The sequence below is a fragment of the Homo sapiens genome, chromosome 18, assembly GCF_000001405.40.
Source record: "Homo sapiens chromosome 18, GRCh38.p14 Primary Assembly".
NCBI classification, from domain to species: domain Eukaryota; kingdom Metazoa; phylum Chordata; class Mammalia; order Primates; family Hominidae; genus Homo; species Homo sapiens.
In genome coordinates, this window is record NC_000018.10 from 74,253,755 (window position 1) to 74,275,164 (window position 21,410).

At 42.7% G+C, this 21,410-nt stretch overlaps 1 protein-coding gene across 4 annotated transcripts in view, besides 3 other annotated features; it reads right to left on the bottom strand.

Annotated features, from left to right (window-relative positions):
* Window positions 1-21,410, bottom strand: part of CYB5A (cytochrome b5 type A) — a 41,118-nt gene that overhangs the window by 2,909 nt on the left and 16,799 nt on the right. Inside the window, exons 2-5 of one of the 4 annotated variants that reach the window (NM_001914.4) lie at window positions 9,595-9,723; window positions 7,161-7,190; window positions 3,076-3,099; window positions 1,987-2,021 (exon numbers count right to left, since the gene is read on the bottom strand). In NM_001914.4, coding sequence (NP_001905.1) covers window positions 3,091-3,099; window positions 7,161-7,190; window positions 9,595-9,723 — 168 coding nt within the window. In that variant the 3' untranslated portion in view covers window positions 1,987-2,021; window positions 3,076-3,090. Of the gene's footprint in view, window positions 1-1,986; window positions 2,022-2,184; window positions 3,100-7,160; window positions 7,191-9,594; window positions 9,724-21,410 lie in introns of those variants that run through there. The other 3 variants (NM_148923.4, XM_011525835.3, NM_001190807.3) reach the window with 3 other exon arrangements.
* Window positions 14,103-14,643: an enhancer, noted in NCBI's record as "H3K27ac-H3K4me1 hESC enhancer chr18:71935092-71935632 (GRCh37/hg19 assembly coordinates)". NCBI's record gives its function as "activates a minimal SCP1, AML or CMV promoter by ChIP-STARR-seq in primed H9 embryonic stem cells {active_cell/tissue: H9 hESC(primed)}" and the evidence as "EXISTENCE:reporter gene assay evidence [ECO:0000049][PMID:30033119]".
* Window positions 15,353-15,522: an enhancer, noted in NCBI's record as "experimental_50263 CRE fragment used in MPRA reporter constructs". NCBI's record gives its function as "activates a minimal promoter by MPRAs in K562 erythroleukemia cells, with activity observed for both the introgressed and non-introgressed 18:71936427 or rs4891537 variant alleles {active_cell/tissue: K562}" and the evidence as "EXISTENCE:reporter gene assay evidence [ECO:0000049][PMID:34662402]".
* Window position 15,438: a transcriptional cis regulatory region, noted in NCBI's record as "Neanderthal adaptively introgressed variant 18:71936427 (GRCh37/hg19 assembly coordinates) or rs4891537 in the experimental_50263 CRE". NCBI's record gives its function as "modulates activity of the experimental_50263 enhancer by MPRAs in K562 erythroleukemia cells {active_cell/tissue: K562}" and the evidence as "EXISTENCE:reporter gene assay evidence [ECO:0000049][PMID:34662402]".

Below are 21,410 nucleotides of genomic sequence, written 5' to 3' on the forward strand. Positions count from 1 at the left end.
GCATGTTTTTCTTAACTCTGTAATGAATTTTGCTGAAAAGGCAACGTGGATTTGCTAAAAGTGACATGAGTGTAACACATGCCCTGCTATACTAGGAATCACTCTGCCCTGCTGGCTTTATGAGAAAACTCATGCCCCACTTGGCTGGGCTCAGTGGCTCACGCCTGTAATCCCAGCACTTTGGGAGGCCAAGGCAGACGGATCACTTGAGGTCAGAAGTTTGAGACCAGCCTGGCCAACATAGTAAAAACCTTCTACCAAAAAATACAAAAAGTAGCTGGGCGTGGTGGCAGTAGCTAATTGTAATCCCAGCTACTTGGGAGGCTGGGGCAGGAGAATCGCTTGAACCTGGGAGGCAGAGGTTGCAGTGAGCCGAGATCACGCCACTGCACTCCAGCCTGTGTGATAGAGCGAGACTGTCTCAAAAACAAACTAACAAAAATAAACAAACCAAAAAATGAATGCCCCACCAGCTGTAAAGTTGAAGAGTATGGGCCCTGTGATGATTAACACTGCCATTAACACCACAGCTTTAAGCTTAGGTTTGGAAAATCTAATCTTTACTACCTGTGCTGAAGTGGATTTAAAGGGTTAAGAAACAGAATGGCCAGACTACTTGGTGTGTGGTCCACAGGTCTAAATTCACCAAAAAAAAAAAAAAAAAAGCCTAAATTTACAGTCCTGATGCATAGAATTTCGATCTATAAATTACAGATTACAAATCAAATCAGGGACAAAGGAGGGATGAGCTATAATTTCTATTTGAATCTTTTTTTTTTTTTTGATACAGAGTCTTGCTCTGTTGCTCAGGCTGGAGTGCAGTGGCACGATCTTGGCTCACTGCAAGCTCCGCCTCCTGGGTTCACACCATTCTCCTGCCTCAGCCTCCCGAGTAGCTGGAACTACAGGCGCCCGCCACCATGCCCGGCTAATTTTTTTGTATTTTTAGTAGAGACAGGGTTTCACTGTGTTAGCCAGGATGGTCTCGATCTCCTGACCTCGTGATCCACCTGCCTCGGCCTCCCAAAGTGCTGGGATTACAGGCGTGAGCCACCGCGCCTGGCCTCTATTTGAATCTTTAAATTAGATTTGAATCTTTAGATTTTGATCTTTGACTTAATTTCTTAGAAAAATGGAAATTAATGTGTAGGCTTTAGAAATAGACTTGGTATACATATGTGTTTCATAGGGACTACAAGTATAATCCTTTCATAAGGATTACAAGTGAAACTTTCATAAGAATTACAAGTGTAACTTTTGTCTTAGTGGGGTTTGGTGGGGTTTTTCAATTTCACTTTAGAAAGAAACTGGCTTGTTAATGAAGAGTAAGGTGAAATACTGCCTGCAGGCAGGGAATATTCCAGAACACCAACGGACTGAGGCAGTTAAATTTGACAGGATGAAATACAAATGTGTGGTTTTGAGCTTGGGTCCAAAAAAGTGGCTACTACTGAAGTCAATATGGTAGAGCTGCCAAAGATGTTAATGTGCACTTGGACTATCATAAACAAATCTGGTGCCTAGAACAATTGAGTCGTGCTACACATAGATTACCAGCTTCAACTTTAAAGCTAATAAAAATGACAAAGGAAAACTGACCCATGTTTAGGGAAATGTAATCACTAGAGTTTAAGAAACAGACATGGATTGAAAGGAAGGAAATGTCTGCTTGGATGAGCCAGGGAGGTGCTGTGGGACTGGCCGCCTAAGATGCTGCCCTGGGGGAAAAGGAAATGCAATTGTTCTGTTTGTTCCTTGGGGTGGATGCAGCCAGCCAGCTAGATCACGTGGCTGTGGACAGTGTTCACAGTCGGCTACCTGAAAGTTTGAGGCTGAGTGCTCTGAACAGTCTGGCCTTCAGCAGAAGGTTGCTGAGACAGCACAGTGTCAGGCCCAGGAACCCAGAAGGTGGGGGACGCACCTTGTCCAACCTGGACCCATGAGCCCTCCCACCCACTACTGCTTTAAAAGAAAGCTACCACATACCTGGAACTAGAATCAATAGTAGTGATAAGAGTTTCCTGAAACACGAGAGGAAAAAGTAAAGTAAGTTCAAGGGAATGCTGAACTTATTTCATTGACTAAAATCCTGTTTGAAAATAAGAACACAATATTTTATGCAATGCATTCTTCAGAAGATGTCGAAAGGGAAAATTATAAACTTCTTTTCACTAAAATGCCTAACTTTGTTTTCTTCCAGAGTAAAACATTTTAATCATTATATTTACTTAAGGACATAACCTCAATAATTTAAAAACATTCAAAATTAATATGCTACATAAAATATCTTGCACACGCTAGGCATCTAAATAATGCAGAAACTGAAAACAGACATTCATGTTCACATACACACAATCCCACGTCACCTTTAGAAAAAGCAGTTTAATTCTTCAAAAGCATGAACACAATGTTCAATAAAAACATCAGTTATTTCATTCAAATCTGACAGATGTAAAAAAGTGTACCTAAATTACATTAAATATATGTGAACCAAAAAGAAAAAAGAGGACTGCCATTTTAAGTTCTACATTCTAGGCCAACTTTCCCGGGGGGCTGCTTTAATTCTGACCAGACGGAACCAGCAAGACACCAGACCAGCCTCACAGGACTGCTGTGCCCGGCGTCACACTTGTCACCAGCTGGTCACTGTCAGCCTAACAGCAAATCCCCAGATAAGGAAGCCCTGTTTTTATCCTCCAGAGCTTTCTGGGAGCAGCTCTTTTGAGTAGCACTAAAGTGAATGGACAATGGTTCTGGAAAAACGCATACTTCTCCAACAGCTGAAAAGCTAAGGTCTAGTGAAATATCAACTTTTTGGGGCTTGAAAATGGGTTAAGAAGCATTCTTTTGATGTTCCACACCAACATAAGCATTAGGGCCTCAAACAGAAGTTGCCATAAATAAGACAGCTTCAGATCTGCAGTTTCCCAAAGCAAAGATAAAAAGCATTAGCAAAACAATCAGCGGCCTGCAGTAAGGCAAGCATCACTCTGCAAAGCACGTTAGAGAAACTCCCGTGAAAAGACAGACCCCTTTCAGGGAAAAGCAAGCAAAGCAGTTATGAGACCCACCAACCTTGAAACACCGCCTTTAAGGTTCCTGACACAGTAGGGGAAAAAAGGTAAGTCATTTAAAAATAAAATTGCAAATTTATTATCTATTCCAGCAATTTTAAAATCTTAGCATCTATAAAAAGTATTCATAACTACAGCAAGAGGATTTTCCAAATTGTGTATATATGAATAAAATTAACAAAAATTACTAGAAATAATCAAAATATACAAAAATATTAGTTAGCTATTAGAGGACACAATCAGTTCTGAAACAAAAGAATCACTGAAGGTAAAATATGATTGTCAAACTAGAAAGTTAAGTTTGAAACAGCCAACGGAAGGCAAACACAAACATCCACGGCGTCGTTAAAATGAGGGCAGGCATTTCACCAACGTGCTGACAACTCTGGAACCTCCCACCTGCCCTCCTGCTGCCTTTGTGGTTACCATGGGAGAGCGCTAAGGTTAAAACACTACTCTGGCACCAGCATCATCAGCAACAGCCATGAACTCTAAAGAGGGGAACTTGAAATAATCGTATCACCTTTTGATTGTTGATTATCTTCTTGGCTCTGTAGCCCAGGATGCTTGACAGTTAAAGGAAGTTTGAATTACCACTTTGCACTTTGATGGAAAAGTAATTGGTCTTTAGTGGTCAGTGCTCTGAGGGCCTCACTTGGGTTTAGGGACGTGACTATCAAAGAATGTCAGCAATGAACAAGGAGAAAGAATATGGTTTTTATGATTGGCTCTGCCACCTGTTCACTCCATGACTTCGAGGTTCAACTTCAGTAAAAAGAGGTTAACAATTAAATCAGTGTGTCAAAGTCTGGGCATGGTGGCTCAGGCCTGTAATCCCAGCACTTTGGGAGGCCGAGATTGGCGGGTTGCTTGAGTCCAGCAGTTCGAGACCAGTCTGGGCAACATGGTGAAACCCTGTCTCTACAGAAAAATACAAAAATTAGCTGGGCACAGTGCTGTGTGCCTATGGTCCAGCTACTCGGGAGGCTGAGGTGGGAGGATTGCTTGACCCCGGGAGGTGGATGGTGCAGTGAGTCCAGATCCATGCCGCTGCATTGCAGCCTGGGCAACAGAGTGAGACCCCGTCTCAAAAAAGTAAAATAAGTATGTCATGCATAATGACTTATAAAAGTCATGTGAATCAGTGTAAATTACAGTAAGCTCCATAAATTATGAAAAGCATGCAAAGCCCAACAAGCTTTTGTGAATCAGAGTCATCTCATTTATAAGTTCATCTAACGTAAACTTTAGTGGGAAGCCTATCTCCCTTAAAATACTGACAGAGTGATGTCTAACACGGCAAGCCCAGAACCTAGAGGAGAAGCTTAAGGGACTGCAACTGACCAGCCTGAGATGGGTGCTAGATGGTTCTGGAGCACGTCTGTGAGCCGGGTGCTTAACACTTCCCAGCTGCAATGTACCTACCTCCCTTGGCAGGTCTAACATGGAGACACTGTGAGGACCAAATAACTTCTACAAGAATGCTTTCAAAACTATAACCAAGAAGGGGTATTGCTACGACTAATATTCTCTATGTAAGCAAATGTGATAGAAACATTTATGTTAGATTAAAATGCATGATTTCTAAGTCTACAAATATCTTAATTTGGTAACTTAACACTATGCTTTCCTTAGGGCAGGTTCAAGCTAATAATCTTTACTGCATTTTATTTCACTATTCAACTAGATATTTTAAGCAGGCAACATCTCAAAACTTTAGACCACAGTGTACATTCTTCAACCTGGAGATCGGCCGATGGTTATACAGACACATGACAAAAGAAATCCCTAAGGACACTCTTTACTTCCACTAAACCAAAAGCACAAGAAAGATACATCCAGAAAAATGCTCATGTATTTCCTTTCATTTCATCTGCTTATGGCCTCTCAAAAAGGCCAGCAAGTTCTTGTCCCACATTCTTCCGGTTCTGCTCTCACTGAAGCAAAGTCACAATAAAGAAGAGTTGTTTAAAAAATACTCAGAAGTTAGTTAATCTGTAAAATCTCTGAAGAGAGTAAAAACATCTACTTTAGGCTGGGTGCCGTGGCTCACACCTGTAATCTCGGCATTTTGGGAGGCTGAAGCAGGCGAATGCCTGAGGTCAGGAGTTCAAGACAAGCCTGGCCAACAATGGTGAAACCCCATCTCTACTAAAAATACAAAAATTAGCTGGGCATGGTGGCAGGCACCTGTAATCCCAGCTACTCGGGAGGCTGAGGCAGGAGAATTGCTTGAACCCAGCAGGTGGATGTTGCAGTGAGCCGAGATCACGCCATTGCACTCCAGCCTGGGTGACAAGAGCAAAATTCCGTCTCAAAAACAAACAAACAAAAATCTACTTTAAAAAGTTAGTGTGATTCTCAAACTTCAGTGAGACCTTCTACATCTAACAAGCTGATCAAGTATCAACTGCTAATGCTGGAATGAAGTAAGCCATGTCTTAACGCACAAAGGGCTGTGCCTCAATGTTGTCAGGAAAGCTTTCTTTGATACTAAAAGCTAAAGTCCCAGAATTTACCACATAAACTTGCTCTGTTCCCAAAATATTCTCAGTATCAAAGTAACTGCCACTTTAAAATAGAAAATAAGAACAATAAATAGTAATGGGCAATTAATCCAACAGAGTATAGGCTGTAATACACGTGTTCTAAAAGCAAATAAGGAAGAAAGTCTTTGTCCTTTAAACTGAAAGTAGTTATGGCAGGAGACACATGTACAATCTTACACCTACAAGTGTTTTCTGCTTGTAGTCTTTATGGTTAGCGAGACGGCTGGCCCTGCGGTCATCTAAGTTCATCTAATGAATCTTAAACCTTTGTTTTGCTATAGCTAAATGACTTATACCAAAATGATTAACATGCTGAACACATGATAAAAAAAATATATATTCTTCCCTTAAGAGACTTCAGAGAAAAAGGAAAAACTTTATGCAACACAGAATTTCAGCTGTCCAAAAAGTAGCCTCAAAAAAGATGCTAAAGTCAAATGAACTCACAGCAAGGATTCTAAGCAATTGTCACAGAGGCCATTGAAATTCTGAAGTCAACTTTTTATCTCCTGGAAGTACTCATATCATTCACATTGAACTTAAGTCTTTCTTGAATAAGGAGAGAATATAAAAAAAATTGCTTTGTACTAAATAGTATTACACAAGACTTTTATTGTACTATCAGGGATGTTGAGGTAAATGTGGCCTTTATGCTTATATTATTGGATTAACTGCTTTGATCCTTTTGTAGATTAAAGATGATGTCTTGGCAGCAACAGCTCAAAAAATCAGCTCACCAGTTCTCGACACAAGCTCAGTGGGGTCTTGCTGTTGCACTTTCTCTAATGAAACCAAGAATTTACACCAAAACGAAAAATTATACTTTCTTTTTTGTCATTTGATTTAAGCAAAACTTTCCCCTGTAGTCCTTTAATTAGACACTAGAAACTATTTTGCCTACTTGTACTTTTCAGGAACTTAGGCTGTGCTCTTCCATTCTCACCCTACATTTATCTTCAAATATAAGTGAGATGGTCAGTTCAGAGAGAAAGGCTAGTGAATCAGAACATAAAACTAGTATTGCCAGAGTTATTTTCCTTTCCCAAGGAAAAGTAAGTCAAAAGGGTATTATTTAATTTCATTAAATTCATCTGACAAGTATTTATTGAACACCTACTATGCCCAAGAGACTTAAAGATGAAGAAGACATGAGACACACCCTTAAAGATTTAAGTAATAAAACCACTATCCATTCAGATTTTAAGTTCTCTGAAAATAAGGCTTGTGTCAAATCTTTTAGATCAGAAGCACGTGCTACCATAAAAAGTAGCTCTTCAAATGGTATATATTGATAATTATGATGAAAAAAGTAGTTTACTGACAGCCTTAAAAAAATTACACACACGCCATCCTAACAAATCATACTGACAGGTTTCCGTAAATAAAAAATACTTGCTGAGCCAGTAGGTTACATATTCATTTATCTAGAAAGACCTGTGCTGGCATCAGTCAGGTAAATAAAAACCCTCTGCCTTCAGTTTGACAAGTATTAAATACAACGAGAACATCCAGAGATACTTGAGATGGTCACACTTACCGGAGGCTTGTTTAACTTTGGTCTGTCATCCTGCAATGAAAAGATAAGGCACATTATGGAATTTAAAAATCTATGAAAGTACCACTTCCAAAATGCTGACTTTGAGACTTTTTAAAATTATAATTCAGTAATTACCATTTCAGATTCAACATTTAGCTATTAAACACAAAGTTTGATCCATCTGATTTAACAGCAAAAATTAGTAGCAGATTAAGTGCCAAGAGATATTTTCTATCTAGAGTTCCAAAGTTTCGAACAGCACCCATGACAGCTCTCTGTACATGCTGATGTGCACACACATTTATTAGACTCAGATTGCGACACGTAATTCAGGGAGGAGCTGAAGACTGATTCTTCCCTTCTGTCCTCTCAAATTCCATTTGAGATTGTGCATGTATCTCTTACGTGTATGATATCTTCAGTTAAGCCCTGCAGTCTCCCAGTTTTAGAGTCATAAACTATTTCAACTTCAGGCTGAAGCTGTCAAAAATACAGTGTGTTTAAAGGCTGGCCAGGGGGAAGCCCAGTGGGCAGGTGAAGCAGAAGTGCCACAGTCAGGGCCTGAAACCTGACCCACAGCTGGAAACAAGGATGGGATCAGGCATGTGTAACGGCAGGCCTCCCTGATGACCCTAAGACACTTTGCCTTTGTGAAGTATGGGATGAAAATATCGGGGCAAATAAACTTGTCAGATGAATGAAGCTTACTCCCTCAAAGTACATATCTCCTACCACCAAAAACAAAATCAAACAAACCTCCCAACTCAATGAAGTTGTTCTCAAATGGATTTCCTACTTTCGAGCCTTCTACAAAGAACCTAATGTAACCTCTTCTTCATTCACAGTCATTACAGGGATCATCAGTGGTATACGATAAGACTTTTCCTATATTCTTTAAGAGTTTCTCAGTTTGCTCACTTAGAATGAGGCTATTTGCCTCTCCATTTTTTTCTTACGAGAGCAGAGCGGGCTCCTAGCAGGTCTTTGTCCCCTTCTGGCGGGCTGCTAACCATGCACCACAAGTGGGAAGGCAGGACGGAGCCAGGCACTCCCAGAGGTGGACAGGGCAGCTGAGTGTGCGGCCCCAGGATCCACTCCAGAAGCTCAGAGCGCTCGGCAACTTCTTTCCAAGTTTTCAGCGATTTTCCTGATAACTTAGGTTGACAGACTAGTAACATTTAACATGGTCATTTACAACTGCCACAGAGGGGTCTAAAACCGTAACACAGCACAGTGTTTATAGAAAAGCCAAATTAGGACTAGGTGCGGTGACTCACACCTGTAATCCTAGCACTCTGGGAGGCCTAGGTAGGTGGATTACCTGAGGTCAGGAGTACAAGGCCAACCTGGCCAACATGGCGAAACCCCATCTCTACTAAAAATACAAAACAATTGGCCAGGCATGGTGGCCTGTGCCTGTAATCCCAGATACTTGGGAGGCTAAGGCAGGAGAATTGCTTGAACCCAGGAGGTGGAGGTTGCAGTGGGCCGAGATCGCGCCACTGCACTCCAGCCTGGGCAACAGAGCAAGACTCTGTCTCAAAAAAAAAAAAAAAGAAAAGAAAAGCCAAATTAGGCCAGTGTTTTCCAAAAGTTGGTCAATGAATTGGTCCAGAGCTGATATTCTCGAAGGTCTGGGGTACAGTGAGTAGAATATGGACAATGTGCTAGTTCTACAGAAGGCAGAGCTTATTCATTTCACATAGCTCCGTTTTTATATTTTTTAAATCATTTTTTAGAACTAAAATATCCTTGGCCTAATGAAAGTAGAAGTGGGGTTCTTAATAAAAATATTTTGGTCAGAAAAGGAAAGAAAGCAATGCTGGGTTGATTCTCCCCACCTTGTAAAACGTGCTGCCCCATGGAATTTCTAGGACTGAGCAGACTCCCCAGTGCATGGCTGTGGGGTGGAGCCTGCTGACTAAAACGAAGTGCCAGTAAACAATGCAACCAGGCCAGGTGTGGGGGCTCACGCCTGTAATCCCAACACTTTGAGAGGCCGAGGTGGGTGGATCGCTTGAGTCCAGGAGTTTGAGACCAGCCTGGGCAACACGGTGAAACCCCGTCTCTACAAAAACTATGAAATTTATCAGGCGTGGAGGTGTGTGCCTGTAGTCCCAGCTACCAAGAGGCTGAGGCAGGAGGATGGCTTGAGCCCAGGAGGTTGAGGCTGCAGGGAGCCATGATCGTGCCACTGCACTCCAGCCTGGGTGACAGAGTAAGACCTGTCTCAAAAAAAAAAAAAAAAAAGCAACAGTGAAATGCAAAGACATTTTTGGTCAATTTATTTATAACAAAAAATGGTGTCCTAAAATCAGGAGTTGTTTTTGCTTTACTCCTTTTAAAATGTGTATACATGCAAGCTTACAGACTAGGGTAAGGTCATCTGATAGCCTTAAATACAAATAAGAAAGGGCCCCCAAAATGTACTTACTGGATGGAGCTCCCCAATGATGAATGTTTTGGACATTTCCCTGGCATCTGTAGAGTGCCCGACATCCTCAAAGTTCTCAGTAGCGTCACCTCCAGCTTGTTCCCTTAAAACTTCTTCCCCACCAGGATGCTGTTCAAAGGAGAGGTAGAATAAAAATTTTTTTTTCAGGCAAATGAATTAAGAGAAAACGGCCAGAATTTATTTAACCAAACAGGTGACTCCTTCAGAAGACACAGATGACAACAGGAGACTAACTTGTCCATAAATGTGGATTAAAACAACACAGGCCTTTATATTCCATTTCCATCATGCAAGTACAATAGGCCTAGGCAGCAGAATCACTTGGGCCCAAGTTCAAAGCCAACCTGGGCAACATTGTGAGACCCCATAACTATAAAATACAATTTTAAAAAATTAGCTGGGCACGGTGGCATGCCCCTGCAGTCCCAGATACATGAGAGGCTGAGGTGGGAGGATGGCACAAGCTCAAGGGGCTGAGGCTTCAGTGAGCAGTGACTGCACCACTGCACTCCAGCCTGGGTAACAGAGGGAGACCCTCAAAAAGATAAAAGTAAAAAAAAATTTAAAAACAACCTTTCCCGGCCGGGCACGGTAGCTCACGCCTGTAATCCTAGGCAGATCACTTGAGTTCAGGAGTTCGAGACCAACCTGGCCTACATGGCGAAACCCCATCTCTACAAAAAATACAAAAATTAGCCAGCCGTGGTGGCGGGCACCTGTAGTCCCAGCTATTCAGGAGGCTGAGTCTTGAGAATCGCTTGAATCCAGGAGGCCGAGGTTGCAGTGAGCTGAGATTGCGCCACTGCACTCCAGCCTAGGCAACAAAGTGAGACTCTGTCTCAAAAAAAAAAAAAAAAGAGAGCGAGAAAGAAAGAACCTTTCACTAACAACATAAGTTGCTTCCCCATGTCACTCATACAGCTTAGTAAAAGCATGAGGCTCGTGTCCTTCATCCTTTGGTAATGTCTGCTTGGTTTTTCCATCAGGCTCTCAAAATTGCTCTTATTCTCTACCCAATCTATTTTTTCTTGACTCCTGCACCTGAGACTGACTTCTCTGACATCTTAGTCTAAGTGTGGCCTCAAGAGCTGGCATGCCTAAGATGACGATTCACAAGAGGCACGTGTGTCACTTCCCTCTGGAAAGCACCCTGCGTGCCGGCAATGCACGGGCAGCACAGACTGTCAGATAGATGAGTCCCTGCCTTTGCAGAACTCACTTTCTGGTAGGTAAAAACAAAACAAAACAAGTAACTTGCTGAAGATGCTGCCACCAGGACACAGTGCTGCCAGGACACAATGGAGGCACGGAGGCAGGGGTTCAACTCCACACTGGGGAGAGGCGGGAAGAGCCTCTTGTGGAATAAAAGAGTTTTAGTGCTTTCAGCTGCTTTAATATGTGAAACAAGGATGGTCATGATGCAGGGAGGGAAATTTTTTCTCCAAGATGATTGACAAGTGGGGATTAGTCACAGGACAGAGGTAAGGAGGTCTGGGGATTCTCAGGCAAGGGAAGCAGCTCTCAGAGTAATAAAAAAGAAAGCGGAGCTTGGGCAAAGCATCCTAAATACGTACTTTTGTAGGAAAAAAAAAAACTTCTTTAACTGAGCTTGAATGTTATTTTAGATTCATCCTGACCTTGAGCAAGTCACCTGCAAGTGTCCAACAACTGCACAAAAACCGGTCTCCCTTGCAGAGTCGACTGTGGTCAGTCCTTAATTTCTCCCAGTAATGAAGACATCAGGGCACATCACATTGTAGGAAGGTGGATCATTATTCTGATTTGAAACTGTTTCTCTTCCTACTTGGTCTAAACATACCTAGTGCTAAGGACATCCACTCTTTTTTTTTCTTTTTATAACATTTATCCATCTATGCTGCAGAAAAACTGGGAAGCACAAAGAAAAAAATTAAAATCACCCATCATCTTGCCTCCAGAGAGCCAGACATACACACACACGTATGTGTATGTAATGTTGGATAGAAACTGTGATGGTTATCCTATGCATTGTTTTAGAAAATAAAAAGGAGGTGATACATGGTACAGAGGCAGAGGTGCCTAGTGGTTACCACTCACTCTGTGAACTTGGGAAAACACGCATGTAGTTTTTGAGGATGAAATCTATGAACATATGTGTCTGGCACATCGTTTATGCTCAGTAACTATTACCCAGCATTTTTATTAAACACTTTCCAGTGTCTCTATGTTAGTCTGTTTTGTACTGCTATGAAGAAATACCTGAGACTGGATCATTTACAAAGAAAACAGGGGTTACTTTGGCTCTCAGTTCTGCAGCCTGTACAAGCACGGCACCATCATCTGCTCGGCCTCTGGTGAGGCCTCGGGAAGCTTTTACGCACAGTGGAAGGCCCGGGGGAGCCCACACATCTCATGGCGAGAGAGGAGGTGGTCCCAGGCTCTTTAAACAACCAACTCTGCCTGAACTAACAAAGTGAGAAGTCACTCACTACTGTGAGGACGACACAAAGCCATTCATAAGGGATCTGCCCCCATGACCTAAACATTCCTGCTAGGCCCACCTCCAACCCTGGAGGCCACATTTCAACATGAGGTTTGGAGGGAACAGGTGCAAACCATGTCAGTCACTAAGTATTCTTCCTCAACGGGACTTTGACATGGCTACATGCTGTTACATTGTATAGGCATTCCCCAATTTACTGAAATGTCTTCTACTGGGGCCATTTAGATTATTAAAAGTCCACCTTAAACAGGCATGGGAATGCACGTTAGATGTGCAGACAACAGAATGGCTACCTCAAAGCCAACCCGAAACTTCTGGATTCCTCGCCAAGGCTGCAGCAATAAAAACATGGTTTTGTTGATTCCAGAAAAGTCTGCTTAAGGTTGGACACTTCCACTCACCTACTGAGTAGAGAGAAGCCACATGGTGAGATATAAAATGACTCAGCCAGGACCCACAACTATGTAAACTCACAGACTGCTGTTACTCGCGTAGGGACCGCTGAACTCAGGAGCTGCCGTAACTTTTGATTCCTGTTAAGGATATGTCAGTGGAGACAAATCGCCCAGAGTCAATCATTATTTGCCAGGGACAGCCGATGTTCAAAGGACGACTTCGAGTGAGGTTAAAAACATGGACTTGGCCCTTTATAAAGAATTGCAGACTTAGACAAGTTTTTAGATACAGAATTCTGATCTTTACAGTGCTAAAATGGAGAAAATACACATTCAATTTCATGGGGTAATTCCACAGTCTTAATCTGAAACAGAAGTACAACAGGGCAACTCCTCACCTTAATTTTTGACCAAGAACAGCAACAAGGGATAGGTATGTATGAATCTACCTATCGACCTCTGGTTTTTACCTTGCCTAAACCATTTGTGGGGCAATTTTCTAACAAAAAAAAAAAAGAGAGAGAGAGAAACATCTTGGATTATATTGGTTTCACTGATAACTCATGTAAAATTTTAAAGATTTAAAAAACTAAAAAAAAAAAAAACATAGCTTAGAATAAACTAACTGATACTAAAATATTTTCACTCCATCCTAAAGGTCTATCTTAATAATTGGTAGGAAAATCAAATCCTAAAAATTGATATTTTGGAAAAAATAACTCATCTTGATAAGACAGTAAAAGATGAGGGTGGCTTTTTGTAATATCTAATATTTTCCTTGAAATATATGTATTACGGAGAGAGAGAGAGAGACACTTGGCCAAGTAAACTGAATCTAAATCATGTTTTGAAACTTGTCAATCTTCTCACTCTTGTTAGTAAATACATGCAGCAATTTTAATAAGCACACATCACTTTTTTTTTTTTTGAGACGGAGTCTCGCTGTGTCACCCAGGCTGGAGTGCAGTGACGCAATTTCAGCTCACTGCAACCTCCGCCTCCCAGGTTCAAGCAATTCTCCTGTCTCAGCCTCTGGAGTAGCTGGGACTACAGGCTCCTGCCACCACACCCGGCTAATTTTTGTATTTTTAGTAGAGACGGGATTTCACCAGATTGGTCAGGCTGGTCTTGAACTCCTGACCTCAGGTAATCCACCTGCCTCGGCCTCACAAAGTGTTGGGATTACAGGCGTGAGCCACACATTTGGAGACTAAAGAAAATGCTCTTCTTTGCCTGTCAGCATTCCGAAGAGACAAAGAAAAATTGGGAATGCTGGTGTTTATGCCATCGTGGTTATGCCCAGAGATAAACGTGTGGCAGCGGTGTTATGTCCTAACCTTTGGGCAGGTTATAGCACTTGGGGGTGGCCTGAAGAAAAGGCAAGGCAGAAAGTAGTAGAATAACAGGTAAGTAAACTTATCTGATGATTATCTAAAAGATTTAAGAAAAAGACCAAAATGTGTGGTTACACATAGGTAAGATTAGAGGTAACAAAAGAAGTGAAATTCTCCCAAAGAGCCTGAGCCAAATGGAAGCTGTGGATCCACTTCGGCGAAGTCAGTAGCAGAAATCTGTCCTCCATAACGCACTCCTTGCTAAGCCTCTACTCATGCGACCATGTGTGGGAAGTGACCAGCTGTAGTGCCCAGAGAGAGGGAGAAAGGTGGGGAGAGGATGTCGCGGGTCAGTAAGGAGGACCCAGAAGTGGGGATGGGCATGGAGATGCAAAGCTGTTTCCACGTGAGCTGACCCTAACGGTCTTCCGTCTTTCCAGAGGAAGATTTCCATTTGTTTTTGTTATTATGCACTTGAGTTAATTCACCCAACAAACACACATGAACGTCTCCACGTGGCAGCCACAGTCGGAGCCAAGATAGCGACGGCTCCCGCCTCGGGGAGTTCACAGCCGGAGAGATGAAACATGAATAACTATGACCATGCCACTGCAAGTGAAAGGAAATGTCCTCAGGTGAAAGAGTTTAGTGCCATGAAGAATATGACACAGGAATGTCACCCACACAAAGGGGTCAGGACGGGCCCTGCTGAGCTGTACCACAAGGTGGGAGCTGCAGTCAACAAGGGCCAAGAGGTGTCTGGGGAAGGTGTTGCAGGGGCGGGGAACAGCGAATTCAGGACCTGGGAGAGAAGGCCTCACAGGGCCCCAGGGTAGGAGAAAGGGCCAGGCCGTGTGCTGCTTTTGCGCCTCTCCAAGGATTCTGATCTTTGTCCTGTGAGCAATGAGAGAGGCCATGGTAAGGATCTAAGTGGGGGAGGTAACGCGATCAGATTTAATTTTAAAATATAACCCAGGCTTCAGAGTGGACAGCAGACAAAAGGGCAAGAGAGGGTGAGGGAAGGCTGTTCTCTGCAGCCACTCCAGAGGGTAGGGTGGGGGCAGCTGCAGGTGCAAGGGTGTGCATGGTGTGAGGCAGAGTGGACGAGAGGGCTTCCGGACGGTAAGGATGGTGGGAGAGACAGGAAGTGCCACTGGAGCCAATGTTTGGTTTGCACAACTGAATGGAAGATGGGGCCAAATGCTGAGAACAGGTGTCAGGCAGAGAGACCAGGTTTAGGGCTAAACCACTTACTGGAACTCACTCATCGTGCCCACATATCTTGTAGCTCCTAATGCCTCCCACAGGCTTTTGCGAAATCTCCACTTTGTAAGTTACCCAAATATACCTTGTTCTCGACAGCATATGAGAATCCCCAGATACAACCCAGGGAATACCAATACAATAACTGGAAATGGCTTTTGCTTTTTGCATCTATAAAGGTTAGCTATGGGAAAATAAACAGGAAATATGCTTTAAAAGATTGAAGGTCGGCACAGTCTAAATTCAGAAGACATTAACTGCCACACCCCTACCCAATACTAAGTGACTTTCAGGAAGACACAGTACACCCCTGCATTGTAAACAGTAATGTCGGCTCCCAGCTCCTGTCGCTCCATGGCTTTATACAGCTCACACATAAAAGTTCGCAGCAGAATTTTGCACAGTGGTTCTCTTCTCCTTGAATTGCCTTCTTTATTTGACTTCCAGGGGAACAGGCTGCGCTTGTGTTCATCCAACCTTCTCGGCCACCACAGTCTCCTGATCGTCTACGTGTCTAAACACAGGAGCACCCTGGGGCTCAGTCCCTGGTCCTCACCCCTCCTCCATCTGCGTTGGCTCTCCTGATGATCTTATCAAGTCTCCCCACTTAGAGAATCATCTGTCAGCCAAGGAAAGCAGTGGAAGAGCCCCAGGTCCCTCCCACACACAGCAGCTACTCAGTACTTCCACTCCATAGCTAATGCACACTCCAGCGTAACAGGACCAAATGGCATGTCTCACTTTCCCCCCCAAAATACACTCCTTCCAGTCTTTCATTCATGGGAAATGCTGCCACCACACACCCAGTTGCTGCAGCCAAAAGCCTAGGAGTCAAGTTTTATTCCTCTTTCTTTCTTCATCTATTCCATCAGCCAATCCAGTTGGCAACCTTCAAAACAGACTGAGAATCTAACCACCTCTCACCACTTCCCCTGCTACCACCCAGGGACAACAGCAATTGTCACTGAGCTGGTCTCCCATCCTCCCTAGCATCAGTTCCCCTGAGATCGCCATGCCATGAAGACTTTTAGAAGCTGATTATGGTACCCTGGGAAAGGATCATGCTTGCGTAGTCTAGAGGGGTGGCAGTAATGGTGATGCAGAGGTAGAAGATAAAGTAGGGGAGTTTCAGAGATGAAACAGATGCCTTCAGTGATATTCTAACAGTAACACGTTCCCACTGCTGTTAACAAACATCCAGTATTTGCCATGTCCTACAAGGCCCTTGCTCATGGTCATGGCCGCACAGCCTCTGGCAGGCCCTCAAGCTGGCCACACTCGGTCCCCATCTCAGAACCCAACATCTGCCTTCTGCTTGGGATGCTGGTGTCCCAGACCTTTACAAGATTTCATCCATCACCTCACTTATGCTCTGCTCAAACGTTAACACCTCAGAGCCCTCCCCTGATTTCCCCATCTAAAGCAGCCTGCCTGGGTGTGGTGGCTGACGCCTGTAATCCCAACACTTTGGGAGACCAATGTGGGCGGATTGCTTGAGGCAAGAAGTTCAATGTCGCAGTGAGCTATGACTGCATCAGTGCACTCCAGCCTAGGCAACAGAGCAAGACCCCATCATTCATTAAGTTAAATAATTAATGAAAGCAGGCTGCCTGTGTCCCCACACTATTGCCTTTATCCTTTACTGCTGTATTTCCCTCTCAGTACTTGTCACTACCTACAATTATTGTCAGCTCTCATATCCATGGGTTCCTTACCCATAGATTCAACCAACCATGGATGGAAAATATCCAGGAAAAAAAACTGCTTCTGTACTGAACATGAGCAGGCTTCTTTTCTTGTCAATATTTTCTAAACTATACAGTATAACTGCTTATCTAACATTTACATTAGGTATTATAAGTAATCTAGATTTAAAATATTCAGGAGGATGCATATAGGTTATATGCAAATACTACATCCTTCTACATCAGGGACTTGAGCACCTTCGGGGTTTGGTATCGAGGGAGGTCCTAGAGGACTCCCTGGAGCACACCTAGTGACAGCGACATTTCATATCAATTTGTTTCTAAGATTCATGGATCTGTCTCGTTCATCACTGTTTCTCTAACTCTTAGTTCAATACCCATAAGTATTCATTAGATAAATAAATGAGATAAGCACAGATCATTCTTACACATTGGTTTTGTAACTATTATATATAACCAGTTCAGTGGCTGATGGGAACTTTCCCTCTCATTCCAACTCCTCCAGTTCATAGCACTCTACTTTTCCGGAGCTCTAACAGTTCTTCCCATTCAGATCACATGATTTTGTACTTAACTGCTGTCTGATTCAGTTCATCAAAATATTTTACTGTCTACTATGTGCAAGGCATTGTGTGGGACAGAAAAAAGTACATGAGAAATCAATGTGATCCAATCTTGAAGAAGCATACAGTTCATTTGGGGATAAAGAAATAGCACAGAAGAGACTTCTGGCCTTCCCTGAGACAGCCTCGTAGTTCTGACTGTCTACAGATGACCCAATGGGTCCTAAACTCACAGCAGCTGAGATATCACTGAAGTGTGGATTTGAGTGACTTTCCCTGAGGGCAGGAATGAACGAGCCCCATAGCTACCACGGGTACCTCTCTGACTCTCCAGCCCTCATCCCACAGTGCAGTTTGATGATTCTCACCTTATCTTTTTTAATTTTTAAAAATGTTCCCCAGATTAATCAAGGTATACTTAAGAAATAAAAATTGTTTATCTGTAAGGAATCCAGTGTGATGCTTTGATACACATATACATTGTGAAATGATTCAATCAAGCTAATCACCATATCCATCACCTCATGTACTTATCGTGTGTGTGTGTGTGTGTGTGTGTCTGTGTGTGCGGTGAGATCACTTAAGATGTATTTTCCCAGCAATCTTCAACTACACAATACATTAACATTAACTGTAGTTACCTTGTGTGCAAACTATCTCCAGAACAAGAGTTTGCCACAAACAAAACTACTCTGGCATAATACGCTACTGTCAACTGACTCATGCAAGGAGAGGCCAACATAAAAGCTGAAGATGGCCAAGGACCAAATGAGTCTCCTATGACTCTGTGGCAGGTTTTAGGATCAAGCCTGACCTGTTTCACCATCTTGCCAACCCTAAGGCATAAAGAGATGTAGAAAGTAAAAAGTTTCCTCTTTAAAGCTCCCCTTCTTGTTAAAGAATAAATCATAAGTGTTAGAAATAAAAGATTATTTTAAAGACTAACTTTCTTCAAGCCTCCTTGCTTTGTGCTAATAACTCTTTGCTAAGCCCTATCCTATGTAACTGTTGGACATGCTCACAGACACGTTCCAGCTCACAGCCTATGCCCCTTTCTCATTTGGAATTGTTATTGCTTCCTTAAACCTTTCCTAAGCAACTTTTTTGTTCTTCTTTGCACTTACCTATTTAGGAAAGTTTTAGGCGATTAGCAAACTGGGTATCAGTTTAAGAGTGTGTGGTCCTGCTCCAGCCAATGGATGCAGGACACAGCAGTAAGGACGACCCAAATGTGTAAGGGATAAATATGTCTGCTTTTCCTTTGTTCAGGTGTGCTCTCGTCATTGTTCCATCTGCCATTGAGCACCCTTTCTGCAGAAAGTAAAGATTGCTTTGCTGAGAGATCTTTTGTCTCCACGCTGACGGTTCCTCGTGGTACCAATTATCTATTTCTAACAATTCTGGTATTTCTAACAAGAGGTAAAGTGAAGAAGTTCCTGTCTGGATAATGACAAGGCAAAGAACACTTGCAAGCAGAGTTTCTCTTATTTACACTAATTTAATATAAATTAAGAGTTTTATGGCGGCCGGGCACAGTGCCTCACGCCTGTAATCCCAGTACTTTGGGAGGCCGAGGTGGGCAGATCACCTGAGGTCAGGAGTTCAAGACCAGCCTGGCCAACATGGTGAAACCCCCGTCTCTACTAAAAATACAAAAATATTAGCCAGGTGTAGTGGTGGGCGCCTGTATCCTCAGCTACTTGGGAGGCTGAGGCAGGAGAATTGCTTGAACCCGGGAGGCAGAGGTTGCAGTGAGCTGAGATCACGCCACTGCACTCCAGCCTGGGCGACAAAAGCGAGACTCCATTGCAAAAACAAAACAAAACAAAACAAGAGTGTTTTATGGCTTTAGTCCTTGTTTTTACTATCATTAAAAATCTGTTGTCTGAACCTTTTCAGTTACACTTCATGTAATGTGAGAAACACAGTTGTAATTGTACTTGTAAAGCTGAGGATTTATCAAGGTCAACGGTCCACCAAATACGTACACACAAAAATGAAAGGAACACAAATATGGCAGAAAATGAAGTGTTAGCTGAATGGTATCAATATCTTCAAGGAAAGACGAGGTCATCTTTGCTAGGAAGACAGTCAAGGGAAGAAGCCCCTGTGTGCTGAGTGACTGACTGGAGGGTAAGGTCACCCCTCTGCCCAACACCAGTCATCCCAATAAACGGCACTTCCTGCACCTCTGCACTATTCAATGATCTAAGAGGTACAGCCCTGGTTTCCTAAGAAATAAAAGAGTTTAAAAAGGAAGAAAATACTGTTCTTACAAACTTGGTAAATTATTCTTCACTGGGCACCAAATATCCATAATGAATTAAGCACTATTTACAGTCCTTTAGACAATGCTAACACAGAAACAAGCTTTTCATTTCATCCTTAATTAATAGCACCAAGCCAGTATTTTCAGATAAACACTGCTGAGTGACCTGCTGTGAAAAATCAACACACTTAAGGCTGATGGCCAACACAGAGCTCATCACCTACGAAGCTGGCCTAGCCACGGCCCTGGCCCTGCCTCTTTCTAAATATACTCTAGCAGTAAGGATTTGCTTTAAACTGAAAAAATGCTCAATGCAGGTGGGATTCACCTGCTCCTGGGATTCTTCCTGCAGGAGAGATGCCAAGGCTTTCAGAGCCAGCTCTACACTCACAGCTCCCCCGGGGATCACAACAGGCTTCCTTCCTTCATACCTACATAAGAACCTCGCTGAGAAGACACGTGGCCCACTTAATACCATGGAGCTCAGTGGTTTCCACCAAGGTCACACAAAAAAGAAGCTGACCCAAAACTTCTGGGCAATATTGGCATGCTCCATGGATGGCACGCCCAGGACTGTTCACATGGCACAGCCAATCCCTAGAAGGCCTTCTTCATTTGCACGCCATTCTCCAGTTCCCAAATGCTCCCTACTTCAGTAATAAGTAACAGCGAGAGAGTGCACACGTGGCTGAAATGAAAATAAGGAGTCCACTTTCCCATACAAGAAAAAATGAATAGCAGAGTAAAATAGCAGAAGGTGATTTATAATAGCACAATAGTGCGAATATGTCACAGTCAGCTGTAAAATAAGTACAATCAATAAAGACATGATCTTGGGATGGGTTTGTATGTTGAGGCCAAAAATGAGAAAATATACACAACGAGCGATGTTTCCACTTCTTTTTAGAATGAGGCCAAAGAGAAATGCTAAATAAATGTATTATTAGAGATTCCACAGTATAAAGGATTTTTAAAACTGCAAGAAAATTCTATTTTCTACTTAAGAGTGTACACTAAAAGTGGATCTATAAAAACTGGCAAGATAAAATAAATTTGATGCTACTTGATACAGATGATTTCAATAAATAATAAATTCTTAGTGTGAAGGCAATAATCGTAAGGAGAAAGAAAATGCTGTGGGTAAAATCAGTCACTCTAGGTTTAAATTTGCAGTCTATAACTGTTACTTATTCAGAAGCTGGTCACTGGGTGAAAACAATTACCAGGCCCATTCTTCATTCCTGTTGTTTCTAGGGCCATTTTATAGTTCCTTAGATACTCTACCCAGAAAGTAAAAATGGGTATACACTATATTTTTGGAATTGTCTTTGCCAGCTATATTCTTCAAATAACTAGGTCAAATGAGATTGTCTTAAGCTTGATACAGAATAATATTTTTGTCTAACGTTGCCCTTAACTCCTAAATTTGCTACATTTTAGTGGCCTTGCAGAAACAAGTTATAAAATCTCAAAGTCAAAGGTTAATAGTCTGGCTCAATTGACAGCAGAGGCTTCCGTTCCTGTAAAGGAAACCAGGGAGGGCCTCTGGCTGCAGCCGCCAGCTGGTCTTCCTCACTCCAATCCTTACCCCACTTTTGTCCCTTGCATATATTGCTGCTGGGATCTCATCCTCAAGTACTGTTTTGACCATTTCTTGTACCCTCCTCAAAAACCTACGGTGGAGAATTTCTGCAGCTAAATCAAATGCCTCTGGAACTTCTCGAAGAGAGCGTCAACACCTGTGCAGCACAGGAGGTACCCTTCGCTGAACAAATCAGGTGAG